The 23,124-nt window shown below is 45.0% G+C and overlaps 1 protein-coding gene and 1 long non-coding RNA gene across 7 annotated transcripts in view, besides 2 other annotated features; one reads left to right on the top strand and one right to left on the bottom strand.

Moving 5' to 3' along the window:
* Positions 356 to 23,124, bottom strand: part of PRKN (parkin RBR E3 ubiquitin protein ligase) — a 1,380,350-nt gene continuing 1,357,581 nt past the window's right edge. For all 6 annotated transcript variants that reach the window (XM_024446449.2, NM_013988.3, XM_011535863.2 and 3 more), the window contains 2 exons: positions 13,027 to 13,144; positions 356 to 3,150 (listed from right to left, as the gene is read on the bottom strand). In XM_024446449.2, coding sequence (XP_024302217.1) covers positions 3,038 to 3,150; positions 13,027 to 13,144 — 231 coding nt within the window. In that variant the 3' untranslated portion in view covers positions 356 to 3,037. The remainder of the gene's footprint in view (positions 3,151 to 13,026; positions 13,145 to 23,124) is intronic.
* On the top strand, positions 6,618 to 8,301 carry LOC124901457 (uncharacterized). The gene is made up of 2 exons (XR_007059862.1): positions 6,618 to 6,715; positions 7,110 to 8,301. It is a non-coding gene; the product is annotated as an uncharacterized LOC124901457 (long non-coding RNA).
* Positions 7,593 to 8,093: an enhancer, noted in NCBI's record as "H3K4me1 hESC enhancer chr6:161775686-161776186 (GRCh37/hg19 assembly coordinates)". NCBI's record gives its function as "activates a minimal SCP1, AML or CMV promoter by ChIP-STARR-seq in naive H9 embryonic stem cells {active_cell/tissue: H9 hESC(naive)}" and the evidence as "EXISTENCE:reporter gene assay evidence [ECO:0000049][PMID:30033119]".
* Positions 9,736 to 10,030: an enhancer, noted in NCBI's record as "tiled region #4750; K562 Activating DNase matched - State 5:Enh". NCBI's record gives its function as "activates a minimal TATA promoter and a strong SV40 promoter by Sharpr-MPRA in K562 cells {active_cell/tissue: K562}" and the evidence as "EXISTENCE:reporter gene assay evidence [ECO:0000049][PMID:27701403]".

Raw genomic sequence — 23,124 nt, forward strand, 5'->3', positions numbered from 1 at the left:
GCAAACTTCTCTTTTAAACACTTTTATTAGAAAAGTTTGCTAGTAAGGCAGGAAAGTAACTTTTAGATTTTTATGAATGAGGGTTTGCTTTTTGGAACCCTTTCAAATTTTGATAGCCTTAAAAAACTACTCTTATTTAACAAAGAGAAACAGCCAGCGGTAATCTGGAGCTTGGAGTTGATATGAGAATGGCTATTTCATCACCAGGTAATTCCTCCAGGTCACTGAATGGCTATTTCATCACCAGGTAATTCCTCCAGGCCACAAGTGAGGCCCATGGAGTAATACAGCCTGTGATTCCCTCCGTCACCCTTCACATTGATTGAAAATGTATCTTCAAAGACAGACTCAGAAGCTCTTTTGATGCTTTATTGACAATTTAAGTACAATCTTAGAGTTGTCAGATAATCTCAACACACTTCAGAGAAAAACAGACTTTTTCTGCAAAGACTTTATTTCTATTTTTTGATACATTCATATTTTGTTACACCCTTCCTGTGCAAATAATACTGTGATTCATGTTCATGTGTAGTGGATGATCTTGCTTTTTTGTTTTTGTTTTTTTTTTTTTTTTGAGACAGAGTCTCACTCTGTTGCCCAGGCTGGAGTTCAGTGGCGTGATCTCGGCTCACTGCAACCTCTGCCCCCCGGGTTCAAGTGATTCTCCTGCCTCAGCCTCCCAGGAAGCTGGGATTACAGGTGCCTGCCACCACGCCCAGCTAATTTTTGTATTTTTAATAGAGACGGGGTTTCATCATCTTGGCCAGGCTGGTCTTGAACTCCTGACCTCGTGATCCACCCACCTCGGCCTCCCAAAGTGCTGGGATTACAGGCATGAGCCACCGCGCCCGGCCTGCTCTAACTTATTTTAAGAATCACTGTTCTATTCTGGAAAGGGAAAAGACCACCACCAAGAAGGGAAAGGAGACCATGCTGGACAGCCTAATAGTCTAACAGGGGATCCTAGGGTGCCTGAGCTCATGGGAGCAAACCTTGTTCAGGCACCGCAAGCCCAACGCAGCATGCAGATTGGGAAGGCGCAATAATGCAAACACCATCAGGAAGAAAGCTATGGATGATGGAAAACACTGTGTGCTCCACGTGACAGAAGGGAGCCACCTGATTTGTCGCATCGGGCCAGTGTAAGGAAGTGTAATTTAGTGGGACTGCCAGTGACACTAAGTCAGGCCTTGATCAGGGTCTGGACTCAGTATGGACACGAGCCACTGGGTGCAGGGGGCTCATGCCTGCCACCTCTCTTTTTTTCCCTTACTATAGAGACTTTGATCTGTCCACCATTTCTATGTGAGCTTTGGGCTTCCTGTCACAGGTCTGTTGTCACCGTGGGGCCATGTTGGAGTCGGTAGATTTTCAGACAGTGAAGCCACATGAAGCTGTGAATGCTGATGTGGCTGCTGCAGAGCCCAGTCTCTCCCCGGTGCAGGGCCTCTGAGACGACGGGACTGTCCTCAGATGGTTGGAAGAAATGGGTTATCTTAGGCAGTTAGGAAAAGAGGGACAGGTGTCCCAGGATGTGGAAAACTTGAGTTCATCCCCTCTCTTCCCTCCAGCAAGGATTTCAGTGCTACATCTAAAAAGAGAAGCCCTGTTGCCGATTTAATAATTTACAGTCTCTAAATCCAAAAGGGCCTCCATGTGCTAGTGAGACTCATGCCCTCAGTTATGTTCACGATCTTCCTGAGAAGTCAGACAATACAGGTAGAACAAAAGATAGTGGTTGTACTTTCTCTTCTGCGTAGTGTGGGTAAGAGCATGCGGTTTGCCGCATGCAGTGTTGTTAATCTTTTGATTGTGTTGTGAATGGCTGAAAAAAAAGCTGAAAGTTTGATTGAACTGAAATCCAATCCATGTCAACATAAGGAATATTCTAGTGAGTTTACTGTCCTAAGAGAAGGTCTCTCCTGGGGAACCCCTGGTATGCAGAGCTCCCTGGGACTTGCAGATTGGACAGAGAGGGTGTGCCAAAGGGGTATAAACCCTTCTGATGGAGAGAGTCGGGCGTGTCTTCATTTTGGTAGTTCTGGAAAGGCTCCTCTTTAAAGATTCTGATTTAATAATGTTCACTTTTGTTAAGATTGAATATCATTTTGAAATCATTTCTAAACGTGTTTCCTTTATAGGCACTTTATCTATTAAATTTACAGTGGAGCCAAATGTATTAGCAAAATCTCCAAGTTGCAAAATGAATACTCAGAATCAAACTATAGATTTTTTGGTGATACTTTCAGAAAAACAATTTCTTTCTAAAGTTGCAAATCATGAAAGGGAATGAAAGTACATTAACTTGATTTCTTCCCTGTAATTCAAACATTCAACATTCAAATTAACTTTCATAATTTCTCACTTTGTGACAAGTTGATTTACGCATAGTTGGTATTTCATTAATGCGATTTATATAGATGGAATTCTTAAGGATAAACAAATGTTTTTGACTATTGCCTGGGGTTCTTTGGGAATAGATGCTTTCTGAAAATTTAAATAAGAACATTACTGTTAAAGCCATGAATCTAGTTTGGAGAACCCACTGCAGTTCATTTTACAGAGAAACACCTTGTCAATGGCATCTTCATGGTGTTTACTGAAGGTAAAAGGCAGGATATTAAATGTGAGAACTCTCTCTCCAGCTACTGATTCTGCCTGTCTCGAATTCAGGTGAGAATGACCCATACAGATACATGGATTGCACTTGAATCTGTGCTCTGGTATTTGTGTCATCCGGAGGCTGAGAACGCCTGTTGGTGGTGTCGCAGATGGCTCTGCTGTCTTGTGTGGACAAACTGAAAGGGATTCAGGAGCTTCTTCTGTAATTTTACTCTGCTGTTTTTCATGGACATAGTGAAAGGGATCCAGGAGTTTCTTCTGCAATTTGGCTGTAGTTGGACTTTGAAAAAAACTTGAAGAGTGTGTGTGCGCGCGCGCGCGTGTGTGTGTGTGTTTGAAAAGAGAATTAGAAAATGAAGGTAGACACTGGGTATGCTCCCCCAGGATGTGGCGATGGGGCGCCCGGCCGCCCTGGCTACACGTCGAACCAGTGGTCCCCCATGCAGACGCGGTTCCACTCGCAGCCACAGTTCCAGCACCACTCGAGCCTGCACTGGGGCTGCGGACACTTCATGTGCATGCAGCCTCCTGTTGGGGGCAGAAAACAAAGGTGTGGTGGGTTCGCAGCAAGTACCTGGAAAACACGCATTCCCAAACCAGCACGCTAGCCTAGACATCACTTTCTGAGCGAATAATCACAAGCAATACAAGGGCAGAGAGAAACTTAACTGAGGGGAAAAACTTCATAAAGCACAATAGGGCAGCTCTAAAGTGATGATATTCATTAAGAAATGAATGAAATTGAAGCATGTCACTTTTGTCGGGAACAAATTTTATTTGTAAATCTGACTTTATTCTCCTGAAAGGGGATTTAGAGACAAACACTTCATGTTTCATAGATAGGGGTCAATTCCTCATTTAAATATATTCAAATATTAATATATTTATATTTAAAATATATAAATATATTTTTATATATTTATATTTAAAATATATATATTTTTATATATTTATATTTAAAATATATATATTTTTATATATTTATATTTAAAATATATATATTTTTATATATTTATATTTAAAATATATATATTTTTATATATTTATATTTAAAATATATATATTTTTATATATTTATATTTAAAATATATATATTTTTATATATTTATATTTAAAATATATATATTTTTATATATTTATATTTAAAATATATATATTTTTATATATTTATATTTAAAATATATATATTTTTATATATTTATATTTAAAATATATATAAATATATTTTATATATTTATATTTAAAATATATATAAATATATTTTATATATTTATATTTAAAATATATATAAATATATTTTATATATTTATATTTAAAATATATATAAATATATTTTATATATTTATATTTAAAATATATATAAATATATTTTATATATTTATATTTAAAATATATATAAATATATTTTTATATATTTATATTTAAAATATATATAAATATATTTTTATATATTTATATTTAAAATATATATAAATATATTTATATTTAAATATATTGATAAAATTTGATGATATAACCTAATATAATGTATAATAATTTAAATATATTTTGATTTATTTTTGCTCTTTCTATAGTGCCACTTACTTGGCTTGGCCAAATTCATAAAACAGGAACTGGGATAGCATATTGTAATTATTATTATTTCTATTTTTTTTTTTGAGATGGAGTTTTGCTCTTGTCGTCCAGGCTGGAGTGCAGTGGCGAGATCTTGGCTCACTGCAACCCCCACCTCCCAGGTTCAAGTGATTCTCTGGCCTCAGCCTCCCGAGTAGCTGGGATTACAGGCGCCCACCAACATGCCCAGCTAATTTTTGAATTTTTCGTAGAGACAGGGTTTTGCCATGTTGGCCAGGCTGGTCTCAAACTCCTGACCTCAAGTCATCCTCCCGCCTCGGCCTCCCAAAGTGCTGGGATTACAGGCGTGAGCTACCGCACCCAGCCAGCATATTATTTTTAATAGGGAATATGTTCCTTAATGCTATCCAAAATTTTAATTAAGATGAGAGGGATAGAAAGGAAGTAATTAATAATGCTAGGTGTTCTATGTATATTATCTCATTTGCTTCCCAAAGCACTTTGAGATAAGAGCATCACTCTGCTATAGAATTTCCCCAAGGTGAAGCACTTTTAAATGGTGAAGACAATGATCTCACCAAGGTCTGTGTGATTCCAATGTCCTGTCATTCACAGAACAGGTTATTTTCAGCATAAGAGGAAAAGTCCCTTATCTTGGAACTTATTTTGGAATTATTCACCTCCCTCACTTGTTAAACATAGACTCCATGAGTTTCTGGAGTGCACACAGCCCTGCTTCAGTCGCTGTGGGGGAACTGAAGGGAGGAGGAAGTGATTTGTATGAGGATGTACAGAGAACTGTTTCTGTCCAAATTTCCTGGAAAACCCCGGCAAACGCAGTTTCTTTGCTTGAATCCCACCTAGCGTTGAAGGTGCTCCATTACTCACTCTTACCAATTATCTTGTTAATTGATTTTTCCTGCCAAATTTTCCAAGTAATTGGTTCGGTGCTGTCTCACTTTTATTATTAGAAACCTGGCATGAGAACTTTCACTAATTTAAAATATTTATGAATATATAGGAATAGGCATTTGTTTTAAGATAACTTGCCGACATGCAAAATCTCCTGTTTTCCTAATCCTTTCTGGCTTGTTTTAAAGATCATAAATTACAGATCTGTGGAAAATAAAGGAGAAAACTTACAACACTTTTATCTTCATACTTTCCACTTAGGTTTGTGCCATTTTCAGCACATATTGCATGGTTGTATATTTATGATGTAAATAATATGTTATATGGTGTGACATTATAAAACCACTTGTTTCTCTAAAATATCATAAATATTTTATCATATCATAAATATATCATTATTATATCATGTATCGTAAAATATATTCAATCAAAATTATTGAGCAATACATTAAAACTTAATGAACTATTAAAGCAATTCTAAATGAAAGGGTAAGAAACTTTCCTATTGTGATATTTAATATATATAAGCATATATAAACACAAATATGTATGAAGAGTGTGTGTGTGTGTGTGTGTGTGTGTGTGTATATATATATATATATTTTATTTTATTTTATTTTATTTTTTTGAGATGGAGTCTCGCTCTGTCGCCCAGGCTGGAGTACAGGGCGCGATCTGGGCTCACTGCCACCTCTGCCTCCCGGGTTCAAGCAATTCTCCTGCCTCAGCCTCTCGAGTAGTTGGAATTACAGGCACCTGCCACCACGCCTGGCTAAATTTTGTATTTTTAGTAGAGACGGGGTTTCACCATGTTGACCAGGCTGGTCTCAAACTCCTGACCTCGTGATCTGCCTGCCTTGGCCTCCCAAAGTGCTGGGATTACAGGCATGAGCCACCGCGCCTGGCTGATAGATGTGTTTTTCATACACAGTCCCTGGCTTATAACTCCCATAGCTCTTGTTACAGTCTTTTGTCATAATGTTGGGGCAATTCAGGCCTCAGAAACAGGCGCCAGAAAAGAGAATCTCTCCCTCCGACCTTTCCTTGCCCTCCTTTTACCAGCCCAGGGCAGGACTGGAACCATCCGCAGCTGTTCTGACTGTGGGTTATAAGACCCGGATTTCAGAAAGAGTCCTGTCCATCCCCTGGAGGAAGGAATGCTGCACAGGGAGGCCAAGAAGAATCTAGACCGGCAGGCCTTGCAGGGTCTCCCCACTCCATCTTTTAGCGTGAGATCAAAGCCTTTCTGTCCCACCGCATTTCAACACGGCTGTCCATGCTTCCATCGTGCCTATCCCAGGAAGTCTCCATAGAGGGCCCCAGAGGACAGGGTTTGGGGAGCTTCCAGGTTGCTGAACACATGGAGGTTTCTGATGGGCGGAGCACCCAGGGAAGGCTTGGAAGCTCCGCGACCCTTCCCCCATACCTCGCCCTCTGCATCTCTTCATCTGTATCTTTTGTAATATCCTTTATAATAAACTGGTAAATGTGTTTCCCTGAGTTCTGTGAGCCACTGTAGCAAATAACAGAACCCAAAGAGGGAGTCATGGGAATCTCAACTTGAAGCCAGTCGATCAGAACTTCCGGAAGCCCAGACTTGAGACCGGTGAGTGGCAGTCCTGTGGGACTGAGCCCCCAGCCTGAGGGATCAGACACTATTTCCTGGTAGACAGCGCCAGGGTTGAAGAGCAGGACACTCAGCCGGTGTCCACTGCAGAACTGATTGCTTGCTTGGTGCGTGGGGAAAAACCCCCGCACATTCCGTCACAGAAGTCTTCTGTGCTGACTGTTGTTATTGAATGAGAGAATAGAAGAAGCATGTTGTTTGTTCTACACTTAGACCGAATGCCAAAAATTAATACCAAGCATTTAATGAATCTGGGATACTAGCATTGTAAATGATATCTTGGTACAGAAGCTAGAATTACAATGGCCTGGTACAGTAAGAATGGAAATGGGAAGAGAAGATATTCACGTCATTAGCTTTCTTTTCTCCCTAGGGCTTAATATACACAAGGCCATAGAGCTAGACCCAGGCCATGGAGGAGCATGGAGGACCGCAATTCTAAAAGCTTTGCCAGCTTAAAAGTAAGTGCATCCAGGAAGCAGCTGAAACTTCACGCAGATTTGTGGATATAGACATGAAGGGAATATGGCTTCCTTTGTAGTGAGTTCTGTCTGCAGATGGACACTCAAACCATGAAAAGCTCAGCCTACGCCGGGCAGTCGACATCGTGGCTCCGGCCAGCAATTCTTCCACTAGATTTAATGAGAGCGTGGAAGTCCCTGAACAACCTGAAGGCACATTTGAGGAGAAGCACACACTCAGTCAGGGAATGGAGCCAGAATTTCATCTGCTTGAGATGGAAGTGAAGAAATTTCTGGAGACTGGAGTGGATTATAGGAGAAAGTACCAGGGTTTAGCCTGTGCTTAAAATGGAAATTCCTCGCATTCTCATTTCAGCTTCTCTGAGGGAGGAAGGGCATTCCTGAAACACAGCTGAGTATGTAACAGGCCACGAACCTTGGTGACAACCAGGTAACATCCTTGGTCATAGAGGCTATGTCGGTTTCGGTTACAGTGATGCACTTTTAAACAGTTTAGGCCATCGCTAATAAGCTTCAAGTCTCAGCTTTTCTGTTTGTAAGTTAAAAATTTGGAGGTAAAAAATTAGTGCTTTCATTTATAGTACATCACAATATTTCCAAGAAATAGCCCGACAGGGAGAAACTTTCCTACAGTCACGAACCATTTGACTCCTACAACTCCATCTTTGGAGGCTGCCAGCATGTTCTGAGTCCAGGGCAGATCCGATGAATAATTTTCCTGCTTCTCATCCTAGAATATCTGCCTGCCTCACAGGATCAAGTCCAAGCCCCAAACCTGCCATTCAGGGACCTCAATTCTGCATCCTACCTACTGCTTCAGCTGAGGCTCCTGCGTGCGGTGCCTGGAACACGAGCAGCAGGGGCTGCCTCCGCACACCGGCGCGCGCACACCCGGTGTCTTTGCTCATGCAGTCCTGGGGCCTAGGACGCCTCCTCCTGCTCTTCCTTGCCTTGCTCATATCTGCTCATTCTTCAATTCTTGGCTGGTATCATCTCTTCCAGGAAGCCTCCTCCTCCGGGTCTGTGTGCCCTGATAGCTTGCTTCCTCTATGTTATTTTATTAAAAAGATCGGTTTATGTGTATATCTCTAAACTTTACAAGCTAAGTTTTTGTGTGTTTGTGTTTTATTTATTCTTTTTGAGACGGAGTCTCACTGTGTCACCCAGGCCGAAGTGCAATGGTGCAATCTTGGCTCACTGCAACCTCCACCTCCTGGGTTCAACCAATTCTTGTGTCTCGGCCTCCCGAGTAGCTGGGATCACAGGTGCCTGCCACCACACCTAGCTATTTTTTTTTTGTATTTTTACTAGAGACAGGGTTTCACCATGTTAGTCAGGCTGGTCCTGAATTCTTGAACTCAAGCGATCTGCCAGCCTCGGCCTCCCAAAGTGCTGGGATTACAGGCGTGAGTCACCACGCCCGGCCTACAAGCTAAGTTTTAATTCAGCAAATATTTTTTGTCCGGGCTCTCTTCTGGGATTGGAGCCTAGACGGTCAAGGTCCCTGATCTCACCGGCTTATGTTCTAAAGAGCGACAGATGGGGAACATGTAAATGAACAAATTAAGCAATGATCTGGGAAGGAAGTGGTGCTATGAAATTATTATTAAACTGGTGGGTGGGACTCGTTGGGTAAAGGGGGAAGCAGACACTGAGATGGAAAGGGAGGAGGGCAGACTGGGCAGAGGAGAAGCCCAGCTCGGGCACAGCCTAAGAGGCCTGAGCTGACGTCCAGGAGCTCTGGGGATGGGGCAGCTCTCAGGGTGGTCCTGAATTTCGTTAGTGGGTTGGGTATTATGACCAACCAGTAGTCATGGGACATGAGCTCTCCGGGGAAGGGGAGGGAGCCAGAACTAATTGTCTTGGCAGAGGTGATTTCCCAGAGGGCTCAAGGCCATCCACAGGCAGGCCCCCTGCAGAGGGAATGGCAGTGCCTCCCCCTCGAGAGATGGGATGGTGTTGACAGTGCCCCCCAACAGGAGGGCAGGGGTCTTTGGCAGGGTGGTAAGGGGCGGTCTGACTGAGAAGAGGTCAGCTGGGGTAAGATCTGAAGGACAGGAAGGAGCCAGCCATGGGCAGTGACGACACAGAAGCGTCCTGGGGAGAGGAGCGGGACTGTGTGGTTGCAATGTCAGTGGGGACCCCCGGGGGGAAGGGCAGGACTGACATGGCCTTTGAGAAGTCTACACGTCTATGTAGAGGACGGATCATAAATATGCGAGAGTGGAGGCGAGAGCCCTTTTGGGAAGCTGTGCTTGGAAGAGGAGGCGGGCAAGCAGGGCACTGGCTGGGGACGTGGAGTCAGAGGTGGGCAGACGCTGGATCAGAGCACGGGGAAGGCCGTGGTGACCGGGGATTGAATGCAGGGTGAGGAAGAGCATGGAATGAAGGATGAGCTTTAGCTTAGCGGCTTGAGGAACTGGGCGGTGCTGTTGACTGAGGTGGGGTGCACCCTAGAGGAAAAGGTTTTCTAGGAGCAGCTAGCACTCTGCTTTGTGAAATTTGAGCTGTCCATTGAACAATCAGTGGAGACACTAAGGAAGCAGCTGGCTATTGGAGTCGGACCGAGGGGCGAGATGAGGGTGGGGTGTAGATTTGGGAGCCATCAGTATGTGGATAGTATTTAAGGCCACAAGACTGGGCTGTATGTTATGTGTCACAAAGGTGAAGTGTCTCAGGTGTCCCCACAAGCCGACAGTAAGTGCTGAACCAAACAACCACGGAGGAGAGAAACAGAAAGCAACAGGTCCAGGTTCGCTGACCACTTCCTTTTTTTTTTTTTTTTTTTTTGAGACAGAGTCTTGCTCTGTCACTCAGGCTGGAGTGCAATGGCATGATCTCAGCTCACTGCAAATTCCGCCTCCCAGGTTCAAGTAATTCTCCTGCCTCAGGTTCCCAAGCAGTTGGGACTACAGGCATGTACCACCATGCCCAGCTAACTTTTCTATTTTTAGTGGAGACGGGGTTTCGCCATGTTGGCCAGGCTGGTCTCGAACTCCTGACCTCAGGTGATCCGCCTGCCTTGGCCTCCCAAAGTGCTGGGATTACCGGTGTGAGCCACCACTCCCAGCCTCGCTGACCACTTCTTATCTTGCAAACTGCCACCACCAGAGTCTGGGCTACCGAGGAGGCCACTAAGGCATGGACCCCAGACCTGCTGGGTAAATTCTCCACCTGCCGTGCCTGTGACGCCTGCCAGAAGTGGGAACATGGGTGGGTGTTTAAGGATCCCCTTTCCCTCCCCACTGCAGACAGAGACCTGGCTGATTTTTACTAATTTTCTAAGGTTATACGTCACACATGTTTATTACAGAAAAGCATAAAAAGAAATAAAGTCCTCTTTGGTCCTGTTATGCCTAGAGCTACTCACTATGACATGGTAACATCTTGTTTCCAGTCTTTTTCTTCTGATTCTATTTTTTCCCACACACACATTTGTTTCAAAACAGACATATGTGCCACTTGCTTTGAAATTCTGATTTCTCACTGAGGATGGATGTAAACCTTTCCGCCATGCCTTCATAACCTTCATCCACACGAATCAGAGCACGTCTCACGGAGCGTGTTTGATGCACCGTCTCTGTTACTCCTCCTGCCCATGCTGTGAGGAAGTCCCATTGAAACCCATCTTATGAACGAGCAAACTGGTGCTCACACAGCCACAGTCCATGGCAGAGTCCTAACTCCTGCAACACTGCAGTGCCGGGCTGTGTGAAGCTTTACCACCGATTTATCACAAAATAAACCAATCTTTCTCATACTGAGGCCTTTAGACACTTCGATGATTTTCAGTTTACGCTAATATAAATAATGCTGCAGTTGGCACCTTTTTTCCTAAAATGTGTGTGGGGGTGTGGGTGTGTTTGCCTATTATATATTTCAGGTTAGTCCTTTAGGATAGATTTTCAAAGGTAGAATTATTGGGTCAAATAATATAAAGTCTTTATATAGGTATTGCCAAAGTGGTTTCCAGAAAAGTTACGCTAACTTATGATGTCCTCACCAACCTTGAGAATTATTATTAAAAAACAAAACAAACAAAAATTAAGGCCGGGCACAGTGGCTCACACCCGTAATCCCAGCTTGGCTTTGGGAGGCCAAGGCGGGTAGATCACCTGAGGTCAGGAGTTCGAGACCAGCCTGGCCGACATATAGTGAAATCCCGTCTCTACTAAAAAATATAAAAATTAGCTGGGTGTGTTGCGTACACCTGTAGTCCCAGCTACTTGGGAAGCTGAGGCAGGAGAATCTCTTGAACTCGGGAGGTGGAGGTTGCAGTGAACCGAGATTACGCCATTGCACCCCAGCCTGGGCTACAGATCAAGACTGTCTAATCTCTGTGCTTTACACCCTTGTCAGCGAAATACCAGGCCTGTTTATCCCAAACCATCACATATCTTCTCCTGGGAAGGGCCCTTCCGTGTTCTTTCCCTCCCACTTCCCAGTGCACCCAGTGGTGGTGGAGACTAGAGAAGCTCTTTCCTTCCATCCCATCAGTGCCTTCTGCTCTTTTTTTTTTTTTTTTTTTTTTTTGAGATGGAGTCTCACTCTGTCGCCCAGGCTGGAGTGCAGTGGTGCAATCTCGGCTCACTGCAAGCTCTGCCTCCCGGGTTCACACCATTCTCCTGCCTCAGCCTCCAGAGTAGCTGGGACTACAGGCGCCCGCCACCACACCCGGCTAATTTTTTGTATTTTTAGTAGAGACGGGGTTTCACTGTGTTAGCCAGGATGGTCTCGACCTCCTGACCTTGTGATCCACCCGCCTCCGCCTCCCAAAGTGCTGGGATTACAGGCGTGAGCCACCGCGCCCGGCCGCCTTCTGCTCTTTATAGGTGCATGCCAATCCCTTCATTTTCTAGGAGCACTGCTGCATGCAATGGAGTAATAAGGACACGCTGGGTAAATTATTTATTTTCTCTGCAGGAAGCCACTGATACAGCACTAAGGACTTGTACTGAGCTAAGCCAGCACCTGCGGCTCTGGGATGTGTTCAAGCACCGTCTTGTTTGTATTAATGAAAACTTCCTGAAGGACATAACTGAAAAGAGAGAGGCTTGAGTGCCCATCCTGGGATGGCCGGGCTTCCCTCCCGCAAGTCAGCTCTGGGCAACCTGCCAGCCAGGGCGTAGCTGATGCTCATTAAGGAGAAGCTGGGAGAGGCTGCGCCTGGCTTCGTGTCATTGCTCATCTGTGATGGTGCCGCTGACTCTGCCTTGCACACGTACAAGTGCATCACATTGAGAAAGGGCTCTCGGACCACTGGTTGTGATGGCTTTGCCCTGAGTGGCATGTCCAGGATAGACAGCAGGAAGTCCCCCACTGGTACTGTGAGTCATCAGGGGCAGGCCACAGGGATCTTTAAATATAGACGAGGGTTTAATTTTGAATAATGTTGCAAAGCTGGGGAAGGCTACAGACTGACGGCCGGCAGACAACAGGGTCATACGGTGCAGCCATCAGCGCTGGGGAAGGTCACCAGGGAGGACAGAAAAACCACAGCTGCCTCCTGACTGCCACTTATCCTCAACCACTTTCCATATCTTGGTTCTAGTTTCTATATTTATTCCCTTTCCAACCACATAAATGCTAACTGTGTGCCTCACATAGCCATGGAACTACTCACTCATTAAATATTTCTGTGTAACAAAAACAATAATAATAGTGATAATGGGTAACATTAATCGAGGGGTTACCCAACACACCAGGCACCTTCAGACAGCATCTCCTTTAATCCTGGAATCCCTGATGGGTATGATTCTCCCCCAAAGAGCACACGACATCCTCATTCTCTGCTCAGCACAGACTCACCATTTTTTTCCACTGGTACATGGCAGCGGGGACAGGGCTTGGTGGTTTTCTTGATGGTTTCTTTGGAGGCTGCTTCCCAACGAGCCTGCTCGGCGGCTCTTTCATCGACTCTGTAGGCCTGGGGAAACAAAGAGGAAAGGCGTTTAATCTCAGCTTTCTATTACTGGGATCAGAGTTTATGTTCCCTGTACGTCGGTACAGGAAATTCTTGAAGACAGGAGTGCCTTCGGGCAAGAAGCCTAAATATCAATGCACTTGACAAATGCTAGACAGCTACTAGGCGGATGGGGACACTCTCCCTGGCATGTGGCGTATGCGTAGGAGCGGGGAAGAGATTGTTTGGTTTTGTAGTGTGAGCTCCTCTATTCTGTTGTTTTGCATAATTGTAATAAATAACACCTATCAGGTGCTTAAAATGCAGGCAAGGTGATCAATGCTCAAATACACTTCTCATTAGACACTTCATCAGATGTGAAGTGAGGATCTAGTTTTTATTCCACATTGAGGATTCGATGGGTGAAAACATGGCCCAAAGCTGGTAAGTGGGAGTATCAGTGTGACTCTGGAATCTTTGCTTTTAAACTTTGCTCTACATCTTGTTATCCTTCCTTGCACCTGGCAAATGGGGAACTCCAAATGTTGTCACAGAAGGGACAGGAGCAAGAACAGGAAATGAAGTCGATGTGCCAGAGAGGGCAGTGGGAGCTGTGAGTGAAGACTGTGGCCCTGGAACCAGCTGTCTGGTTCAAATCCCAGCTCTACCCAGACGGGTGACTCTGGAAACATTCCCTAAGCTCTCTGACAGTCTTTATCTCTCAGATGAAACACCTTGTGCATTGGGGGTATGGAGGATTCTATGAGTTAATTTCTTCAAAGACTCAGAATGACTCCAGTGTGGCAAGCTTTTAATACATTTGCTGACATTATTCATGTCACCGAGAGCTGGGTGCTGCCTGCACCATCATGTATAAGGAGGTTTTCTGGTGGGGGTGGAAGCAAGAGGTCCTGGGCTAGCTGTGCTTGACATCTGTGACCTTAAGGACCAGCCATTCGCTGATTATCCCCAGATAAGATGCAGCATCACCAAAAACATGAATCCAAACTTTGTCATTTCACTTTCGAATTCCAAGCCTTTTTGAAATGTTAAAGTTTTTGAGTCTTTATAGATGAAGTATTATGAGGAAAATAACTGTACTGCATTTAATAGTTTCTTTAGGAATTAGTGTTCATGTTTCTGTTATTTCTGTGGAAAGTCAATTCTTCCAGAGCCAAGATCACATTTGAGACATCCTCATATCCCCAGTTTCTGGCATAGAATCTGGTACACAGCAGGCGATCAGTACATTTCAGGCAAGTGAATGAATGAATGACGCAGCCCAGGAAGGCACTAAACTTTCAGGGGTTACCAAATTTCAGGGGTTACCAAACTTTCAGGGGTTACCACTAAACTTTCAGGGGTTACCAAACATCCAAAATAGGACCCCGTGAAATGGGCAGGGCACATGGGTGGTATCCCTGACAGTGGTGGGGGCACCACAGACAAGCTTTGCCTAGGGCTGGTCACTGGGTGAAGCCAATTTCGTTTCTGTTAATGAGCCATCATGGGCACAAAGGAAACACCCTTGAGAACTGCCAGGGTGTCACGTGATTTGTGAATACTTTGCTAGAATAACGTGGAGTCAGCTGCTCGGAGGCAACGGTAGGTCAATGAGTGCTTCCTTTGCTAAGATCCACTCACGGCAGAGGCCCAGTGAGGGCGCTGTGGTTAGTGAGGGCCATTTCACAACTTGGTAACTAGGTATGCATCTTCATGGCACGCCTTCCAGTCACCACAGAGTCTTGGGTGGTCCTAACCGTCAGTGACACGTGGCAAACACCCATCCCCCCACCGACCTGCACCCCAACGCCACCCCGGCCTCATGTTCCACGCTGTTCTTTTTCAGGTCTAGGGCTCTGTAGCTCTGCAGCAATGGTTTAGATTGCTTGTTGGTGGCAAGTTGGTAAGTCATACAAATTGGAGAAAAATACAATTTTACTTATCAGAAAATAATTTCAAAATGCCATTTTTTAGCAACATGGCATACTGCATGTGAAGGGCAATTTCTCCCAGGTCCACACACCTAAAAATGCTGGATCAAATATGGAAAAAAATCTTTTTTAAACGTACGGCTGATAGGGTGGGAAGGCAAAGGAAACCCTTAAAGACAGCAAATCCTCCTGGTTCGGGAGGAAGGAACCTGGCATTTGCTGTGGGGCTATCTTCTTAGTCCCGCGCTGCCCATCATCTGGGTCTTCCCAGGCCCTAAGGGCACAGGCAGGAGACAAAGCCTCCAGCCAGAGCCAGGTGGGAGGTGGAATCCAGTTTTACTACACACAGAGGACCTGGACTCCTGAGGGTGACGTTCTCAGTGGAGGAAGCCAGGGCAAAAGCCCGCCCTGAAGAGATAATTGACAGATATGTGCTGGTCTCAGGCTGGGTTCTGTGAGGCAGCAGGTTTGGAAAACATTTTTCTGAACATTCCTAACCATCAGGCCTCGGACACGAGGGTTGGTGAAAAGAATTCATCCTATCTGATTAGCTTTAAAAAACCTCAAGTCAAAAATTAATTTGAAATATTACCAGATTGGCATATACCCTGGAACCAGGCGGAAGCAAAAATATCTTTTGTGGAGCACAGCACTTTAAAAAGCCAAACCTCAAGGAAATTACACAAATAAAATTCTAAGAAATCTGGGATCATAATAAAAAAGTTAAAAAGTCACCTAATACAGGAGAAAACTAGCTACATGAGTGAAAGTCACAGAATTACAGAAACTACAGAATCTAACCAGCAAAGGTTGTAGATATTGGAATGGCCAGAGACAGAGTACTGGCCAGGCATGGTGGCTCACACCTGTAATCCCAGCACTTTGGGAGGCTGAGGCAGGTGGATCACTTGAGGCCGGGTGTTCAAGACCAGCCTGGCCAACATGGTGAAACCTCGTCTCTGCTAAAAACACAACGATTAGCCAAGCGTGGTGGTGTGCACCTGTAGTCCCAGGTACTTGGGAGGCTGAGGCAGGAGAAGTACCTGAACCTGGGGGGCAGAGGTTGCAGTGAGCCGAGATTTTGCCACTGCATTCCAGTCCCGGTGATGGAGTGGGACTCTGTCTCAAAAAAACTTAACTGAGTATAAACTAAATATGTTTGTTATATTTAAATAAATAAATAAAGGTGATGATAATGGAATAAGAGACTGTCACAATTAACCAGGGAGATGTAAAAAAGAAACAAATTTCTTTGTTTTGTCCATTTTTCTGGACATGAAACACTAATAATTAAAATTAGAAACTCAGTTGATGAGTTACATAACAAATTAGATACAAATGAAGAGAGAATTTGTGAACTGAAAGATGGAGCTGAAGAAATTACATAAAATGCCAAGAAGTAAAAAATATGAAAAGGAGATTAAGAGATGGGGGGATAAGGTGAGAAGGTCCAGTGTTTTTCTAAGTAGAGTTCTGGAAGGAGATAACAAAGAGCATGAGAGAGAAACAGTGTTTGGAGAGAGTGGCAAAAAAACACACAAATTATCTACAAAGAAGTTACAATTATTCCCCCCAGCTGATTTCTTAATGCATGGGTGCTGGCAGACAGTGATGGTATCTTCAAAGCACTGACAGAAAATACCAGCCCACTTAGAATTCTATCCAAGCAAAATTAATTTTTAAGAATGAGCATAAATAAAAACACAGTAATAAAAAACAGCATTTCCCATCAACAGAAGTTCATTAAAGAAACATGATTTGGGGCCGGATGTGGTGGTTCACGCCTGTAATCCAAGCACTTTGGGAGGCCAAGGCAGGCGGATCATGAGGTCAGGAGATTGAGACCATCCTGGCTAACATGCTGAAACCCCATCTCTACTAAAAATACAAAAAATTACAAAAAATTAGCTGGGCATGGTGGTGGGCGCCTGTAGTCCCAGCTACTCAGGAGGCTGAGGCAGAAGAATGGCGTGAACCCGGGAGGCTGAGCTTGCAGTGAGCCGAGATCACGCCACTGCACTCCAGCCTGGGCAGCAGAGGGAGACTCCGTCTCAAAAAAAAAAAAAAAAAAAGAAAAGAAAACAAACAAACAAACATGGATGTGGGAGGCCAAGGCAGGCAGATCACCAAGTCAGGAGTTTGAGACCGTCCTGACCAACATGGTGAAACCCCGTCTCTACTAAAAATACAAAAATTAGCTGGGCGCGGTGGTGGGTGCCTGTAGTCCCAGCTACTCAGGAGGCTGAGGCAGGAGAATCATTTGAACCGGGAGGCGGAGGTTGCAGTGAGCCGAGATCATACCACTACACTCCAGCCTGGGCAACAGAACGAGACTCCATCTGCCACCACCCGCCCCGCAAAAAAAAAAAAAAAAAAAAAAAAAAGAAACATGGAAATAGGAAAAGTCCAGAAGGAGCCAGGAGCTGCAAGAAGAAACTGTGAGAAAAGAAAAAGAAAATGGGTAACGTATGGTAAATCACAGGAAATACTGATTGTCTAAAACTGTAAACGATGCTTAATTTGCTGGTTAAAAAAAAAAAATCCAAGTAGGCTGTGTGTGGTGGCTCACGCCTGTAATCCTAGCACTTTGCGAGGCCAAGGCGGGTGGATCATCTGAGGTCAGGAGTTCAAGATCAGCCTGGCCAACACAGCGAAACCGTCTCTACTAAAAATACAAAAAGTAGCTGGGTGTGGTGCCCACACTACTCGAAAGGCTGAGGCAGGAGAATTGCTTGAACCTGGGAGGTGGAGGTTGCAGTGAGCCGAGATGGTGCCAGTACACTCCAGCCTGGGCAACGGAGTGAGACTTTGTCTCAAAAAAAAAAAAAAAATCAGAGTAGAACTAGATGCCGGACAAGAATAGCACAGAAGTGTGAGAATTGGATGATTCTAATGCGCTGGCATGATTCAGGCAGAGGGTCCTTAGATTTTTTTACATTAATATATGTTTACATTCTAGGGTAATCAATACAAGAGAAAGCAATTTGCTTCTAAACAAGGAAAAATACAGTGGAAATGGCAAACAAAAGAGTCAAAAGAAAGGCAAGAAGTAAAAGTAAAACTATAGAAATGTAGAATGTAATAGAAAGTATAAAATAAAATGGCAGAAATGACTGCAAATATCCCAGCACTCCCAACCCGTGTGGACAGATTATCATTGAGGGCAGGTCTTGCTAAACTCTAGAGTCTTAGCACTTATCTGGGAGGCCTTGTCTGCAAGAGGAGCACTCAGGGGCTGAAGTTTCTGGCTCAGGTGTGTGCACACCTAAAGCCTTTGTTACATGTTGCCAAGTTAAGAGCATTTTCAACTGGGCGAATACAATGTTTATTCTAACAAAGGATGTTATACTCAGCCCAAGAGAAAGATTCAGAGCTCAACTTGAAGAAACCTCCTGCCTGTCAATAGCACATTACTGGAGAGGAATTACAAACTGGAAAATTGCAAATTTATATTAATATGCTTTGTTCTGTCCAGGAAGAAAGATTAAAGTTACAGCAAAAGAAGAGAAATAATTACTTTTCAAAATACCAATTTTCTCTGACTTCCGATCCCCCGAGCACACAAGGCAGAGTGGGTATAACTTGCAGGCCCACCAGAAAGCCACTAGGATTTCCCCAAACGGCTCTGGATGTAACACCTCCAGCAGCAAGCGTCCTTCAAATCAGGACACTGCAAGTTTAATACCTAGGAGTGATTACAAAAGACTACCCGTGTAAACATTTCCACACTAGTGTGCACTGAGCTACTGGATGGGCCAGTTCACTCAGGGGAGAGGGAGGTAGCTAGGAGGGTTTGATCCTTAGACTGGAAGAGGGAAAATTGAGAGCAGCAATTTCTGTTTTCACCTGCAAGGATATGTACCCTTATCATTTCCTTCACAGACTCTGCAACTGGGCCAATGTTACTTCTTCCCCGGATCGATATGTTGAAATCCTACCCACCAAGGTGATGCTACTGGAAGGTGGGGCCTTTGGGAGGTGATTAGGTCATGAGGGTGGAGCTCTTATGAAGGGATTCGTGCCCTTATTAAAGCAACCCCAGAGAGCTCTCTTGCCTCTTCCACTGTGAGAAGATGCAGTGAGATGCCAGCAGTTTGCAGGAAGAGAGACCTCCCCAGATCTAGAGCCTGAGGTTGAGGCTTCCTGGGCTGAGCTTTGGTTCCTGTAAGCCATGGGCAGCAGCGTGGGTTAAGAGGCACCCTCATGTCCACAGGACACCAGAGCTGCTGAGGGGCCGAGGCACACGTGAGCCAAGGAGTCAAGGACCCCCTCATGGAGATGCCCACACTGAAGGTCAGAGACAGAGAAGAAAGCCTAGGGAAGAGAAAATACCCCAAACCCTAGGAAAAGACCAAAATGCTGATGTCGCAAAATGGTTTTTAATACTGTTAAAGCAAACTAAGTATGGCCTAAGAAGGACTCCGTACTTCTGTATTTGAGTCCTTGTGGTCGAACTTAGCCAAGATTGAAAACCCAACTTAGGAGTGTGTCTGACTTAATATGTAGACAAGATTGAAAGTCTAACTCTAGAGTATGCAACTGTAACAACAGCTGGGTCTTGGCCAATCCCAGCAGCCATGCTTCAGCCACTCATACACTGCTGAGTGTTCAAACTGTGTTCAAATGAGGCCGACACCAACTTGTAACCAGCCCGGGTGTTTCTGTACCTGACTTCCGATTTCTGTCCATCACTTCCCTTTTTGTCTATAAATTTGTTCTGACCCCGAGGCACCCTTGGAGTCTCTCTGAATCTGCTGTAATTGTGAAGGCTACCCAATTTACGAATCGCTTTTTTGTTTTTTTTCTTGCTCAATTAAACTCTGCTAGATTTAATGTGTCTGAAGTTTTTTGGGGTTTTTTTGTTTCCTTTTTTTTTTTTTTTTTTTTTTTTTTGAGACAGAGTGTGGCTCTGTCGCCCAGGCTGGACTGCAGTGGCGTGATCTCGGCTCACTGCAAGCTCCGCCTCCCGGGTTCACGCCATTCTCCTGCCTCAGCCTCCCGAGTAGCTGGGACTACAGGCGCCCGCCACCACGCCCGGCTAATTTTTAGTAGAGACGGGGTTTCACCATGTTAGCCGGGATGGTCTCGATCTCCTGACCTTGTGATCCACCCGCCTCGGCCTCCCAAAGTGCTGGGATTACAGGCGTGAGCCACCGCGCCCGGCCGTGTCTGAAGTTTTAACAGTACCAAGCTAGGGGAGGGTGTTTTAGCCGGCAGGACAGCTACCCACTTTCTTTTGCAGTGGGGGTGGGGTTCACGCTGACCTCCTGGGACTGTCAAGGGCCCAGGCAGATCTTGGCCTTGATTGGAGAGTTAGGGGTTACGGTGTAGAAAACTAATAAGATGTGTCTTTTCTTTTTTTTTTTTTTCTGGTAGACAGTATGTGCTCAAAGGTTATGGTTTTATTCCTCCATAGGGCATGAAGCAGTTCTGTTATCTAACTTAGAAGTCAAAGTTCAGCATTCCTTTCCCAATGAACGACATGGCATTCTGTTCCTCAAACGCTACTTGTGCTGATTTTCCCATTAATCTGATGACTCAGACCTCGGCACGGGCTAACACAGAGCTGTGTAGGCATGGCGCTGGGACAGCTGCAGGGTGTTAGAGGGAGGGGCGGCCGGCGGGTCCGAGACCCTGCTGCCCAGGAGGGGAAGGCTTTGAAGAAGTAAGGACGCTTCTGTTACATGAGGAAGGGCACTGTGCGGCAGGGGCTCTGCCCACATCACAGAATGTAGTAACTGCGCATCCCTGAAGGACGGAGCTTGTCATTAACTATTTCAGCTGGAGAGATCAGTCTCAGAAAACTAAATAACTTCAGACCCAGGCCGCCTGGCCTGCGAGCAGTCGGTTCAGAATCGGAGCCCCGAGCTGCCTGGGTTCATACTCCAGGCCCCTGCAGCCTTGATTTCTTCCTGTCATTATCAAGTCACATGCTACAAAGAGGGCTAAGGGACTAAGGCTAAGATGCTGTCATGGAGATCTGGAAGTCCCCGGGGACTTTTGAGAGCACAGTTTTCAAACAGCTTGTGGCCAGGCGCAGTGGCTCACACCTGTAATCCCAGCACTCTGGGAGGCCAGTGCGACGGTCAGGAGTTCAAGACCAGCCTGCGAAACATGGTGAAACCCTGTCTCTACTAAAAATACATATAATATTTATATATATGTATATATTTATATATATTTATATATATTTGTATATATATTTATATATATTTGTATATATATTTGTATATATATTTGTGTATATATATAGCAACCTCAGTCTTGATATATATATATATATATATATATATGCTGGGCCTGGTGGCGCACACATATAGTCCCAGCTACTCAGGAGGTTGAGGCATGAGAATCACTTGAATCCAGAAGGTGGAGATTGCACCGAGCCGAGCTGGTGCCACTGCAATCCAGACTAGGCGACAGGGCAAGAATCTGTCTCAAAACAACAACAACGAAAGCAACTACCACCACCACCAGCACCCAGCTTGTGGTAAAGACAGTGGGAGAAGCCACCCAGCCCCCCTCCCCTCACTGCAGTGGCTCACCTGCCCTCCACTTGCCTGCTTCCCCTGGCACCAGCACTGCAACTCCACTCCCAGCTGCCCACCCGCCCTTCTGCCCTGGGCCATCGCTGCTGCCTGGCCGGTTCTCCCTTCCCCAACCTGCCGAAAGTGCTTTCAAGAAGGACACCAGGAGGCCACGGCTGCCAAAGCTCATGCCCTTTCTTTGTCATTGTCTCCAACTGTCCCACTGCACCTAACATGTGGGAAAGGGTCACCAAGAAGGCCCTTGGAGTTCCTGCCCTTCTCAGCATCACAGCTCTTCCTGTGCTTCCTATCCTCACCCAGCGGATCCACGGGGAGGGAGGGGAGTCCCAGACCCAGTGACTGCTGCCACTGCTGCCAGCCCCAGGGACCTGGGGGGCAGGAGAAGCAGCTCTATGACACCCCGGGAGTGGGCGGTGCCCAGGCCACTGGTTTAGACCTTTGACTGCCACTTCCGAGAGGGGATTTCTACCAGGAGGAGCACATCTTTGCTTTGCATCCTTCATGAGTGTCTTAATGCTGATGTTTAAATCCTTCTGGAGTGATCTCAAGCAGTGGCTGGGTGCCCACAGGTTCAAGATCACCAAAGCGATTCTAAAAATGATCCCAAGGCTTGTGTCCAGACTCTGGAGATTGGGATTCAGTAGGTCTGTGGCGGGGTACAGAAATTAGAATCCCTAAAAATGCCCTAAGGGGTTGCGAGGGGCGGGAGGTTTGGGAACCATTCATCCTCTGGAGGGCGATTCTCCCTTTGCGCCTGAAGAGGAACATGGTGAGCTGGGTAACTTACCCTCTGTTCCCGCCTTAGTCATCAAGCTCTAAAGCAATGCCTGCTTATTGTGTTGCCAGGAGGGGAAGGTTTTGTTGTGATTCAGCATCACCGCCCGATTGTGCAATAAAGTGTGGCTCTCACGGGGCAGTGTAACTGTTAGGTAATTGCATAGAATTCTGTGCCTGTCTACTGCTCACCCGTGGCAGGAGGAATTGCATGCATGCATGTGTGTACGCACGCGTGGTGGAGGTGGGGGTGGAACAGGACAAGTCTCTCTCCTAATATACTTCATGGCTGAAAATAGCGATTTCATAAATATATATATGAAACATCTATAATATACTTATATATAGATGTTTCATATATATATTTCATATGATTATAGGAAATATATTTCATATACATATAGAGAGAGACAGAGAGAATCAAAATTCCCTCAGAAAGGTAAAGGCATGATCGTCCATCTGTGGCTCAAGAGGAATAACCTCACAAGGGTCATCGTGAGTAAGATCAACACACAAACGGCTTAGCACAGAGCCAGGTGCACCCTGAATGCTAACCGTGTGTTTTCTATGATCACCACCATTATTACTTTGTTATTGTAATCATCACGATCATCTCTAAAGAGATGGGAATATGACCCTGTGGGAGTTTGTACACATGGAAAAGACCACTGAAGGCCTGGATTGGCCTTAAATCTCCTTTAAAAACACAAGTATGGGAGGCCGAGGCAGGAGGAACACTTGAGTCTAG

The sequence above is a fragment of the Homo sapiens genome, chromosome 6, assembly GCF_000001405.40.
Source record: "Homo sapiens chromosome 6, GRCh38.p14 Primary Assembly".
NCBI lineage: Eukaryota > Metazoa > Chordata > Mammalia > Primates > Hominidae > Homo > Homo sapiens.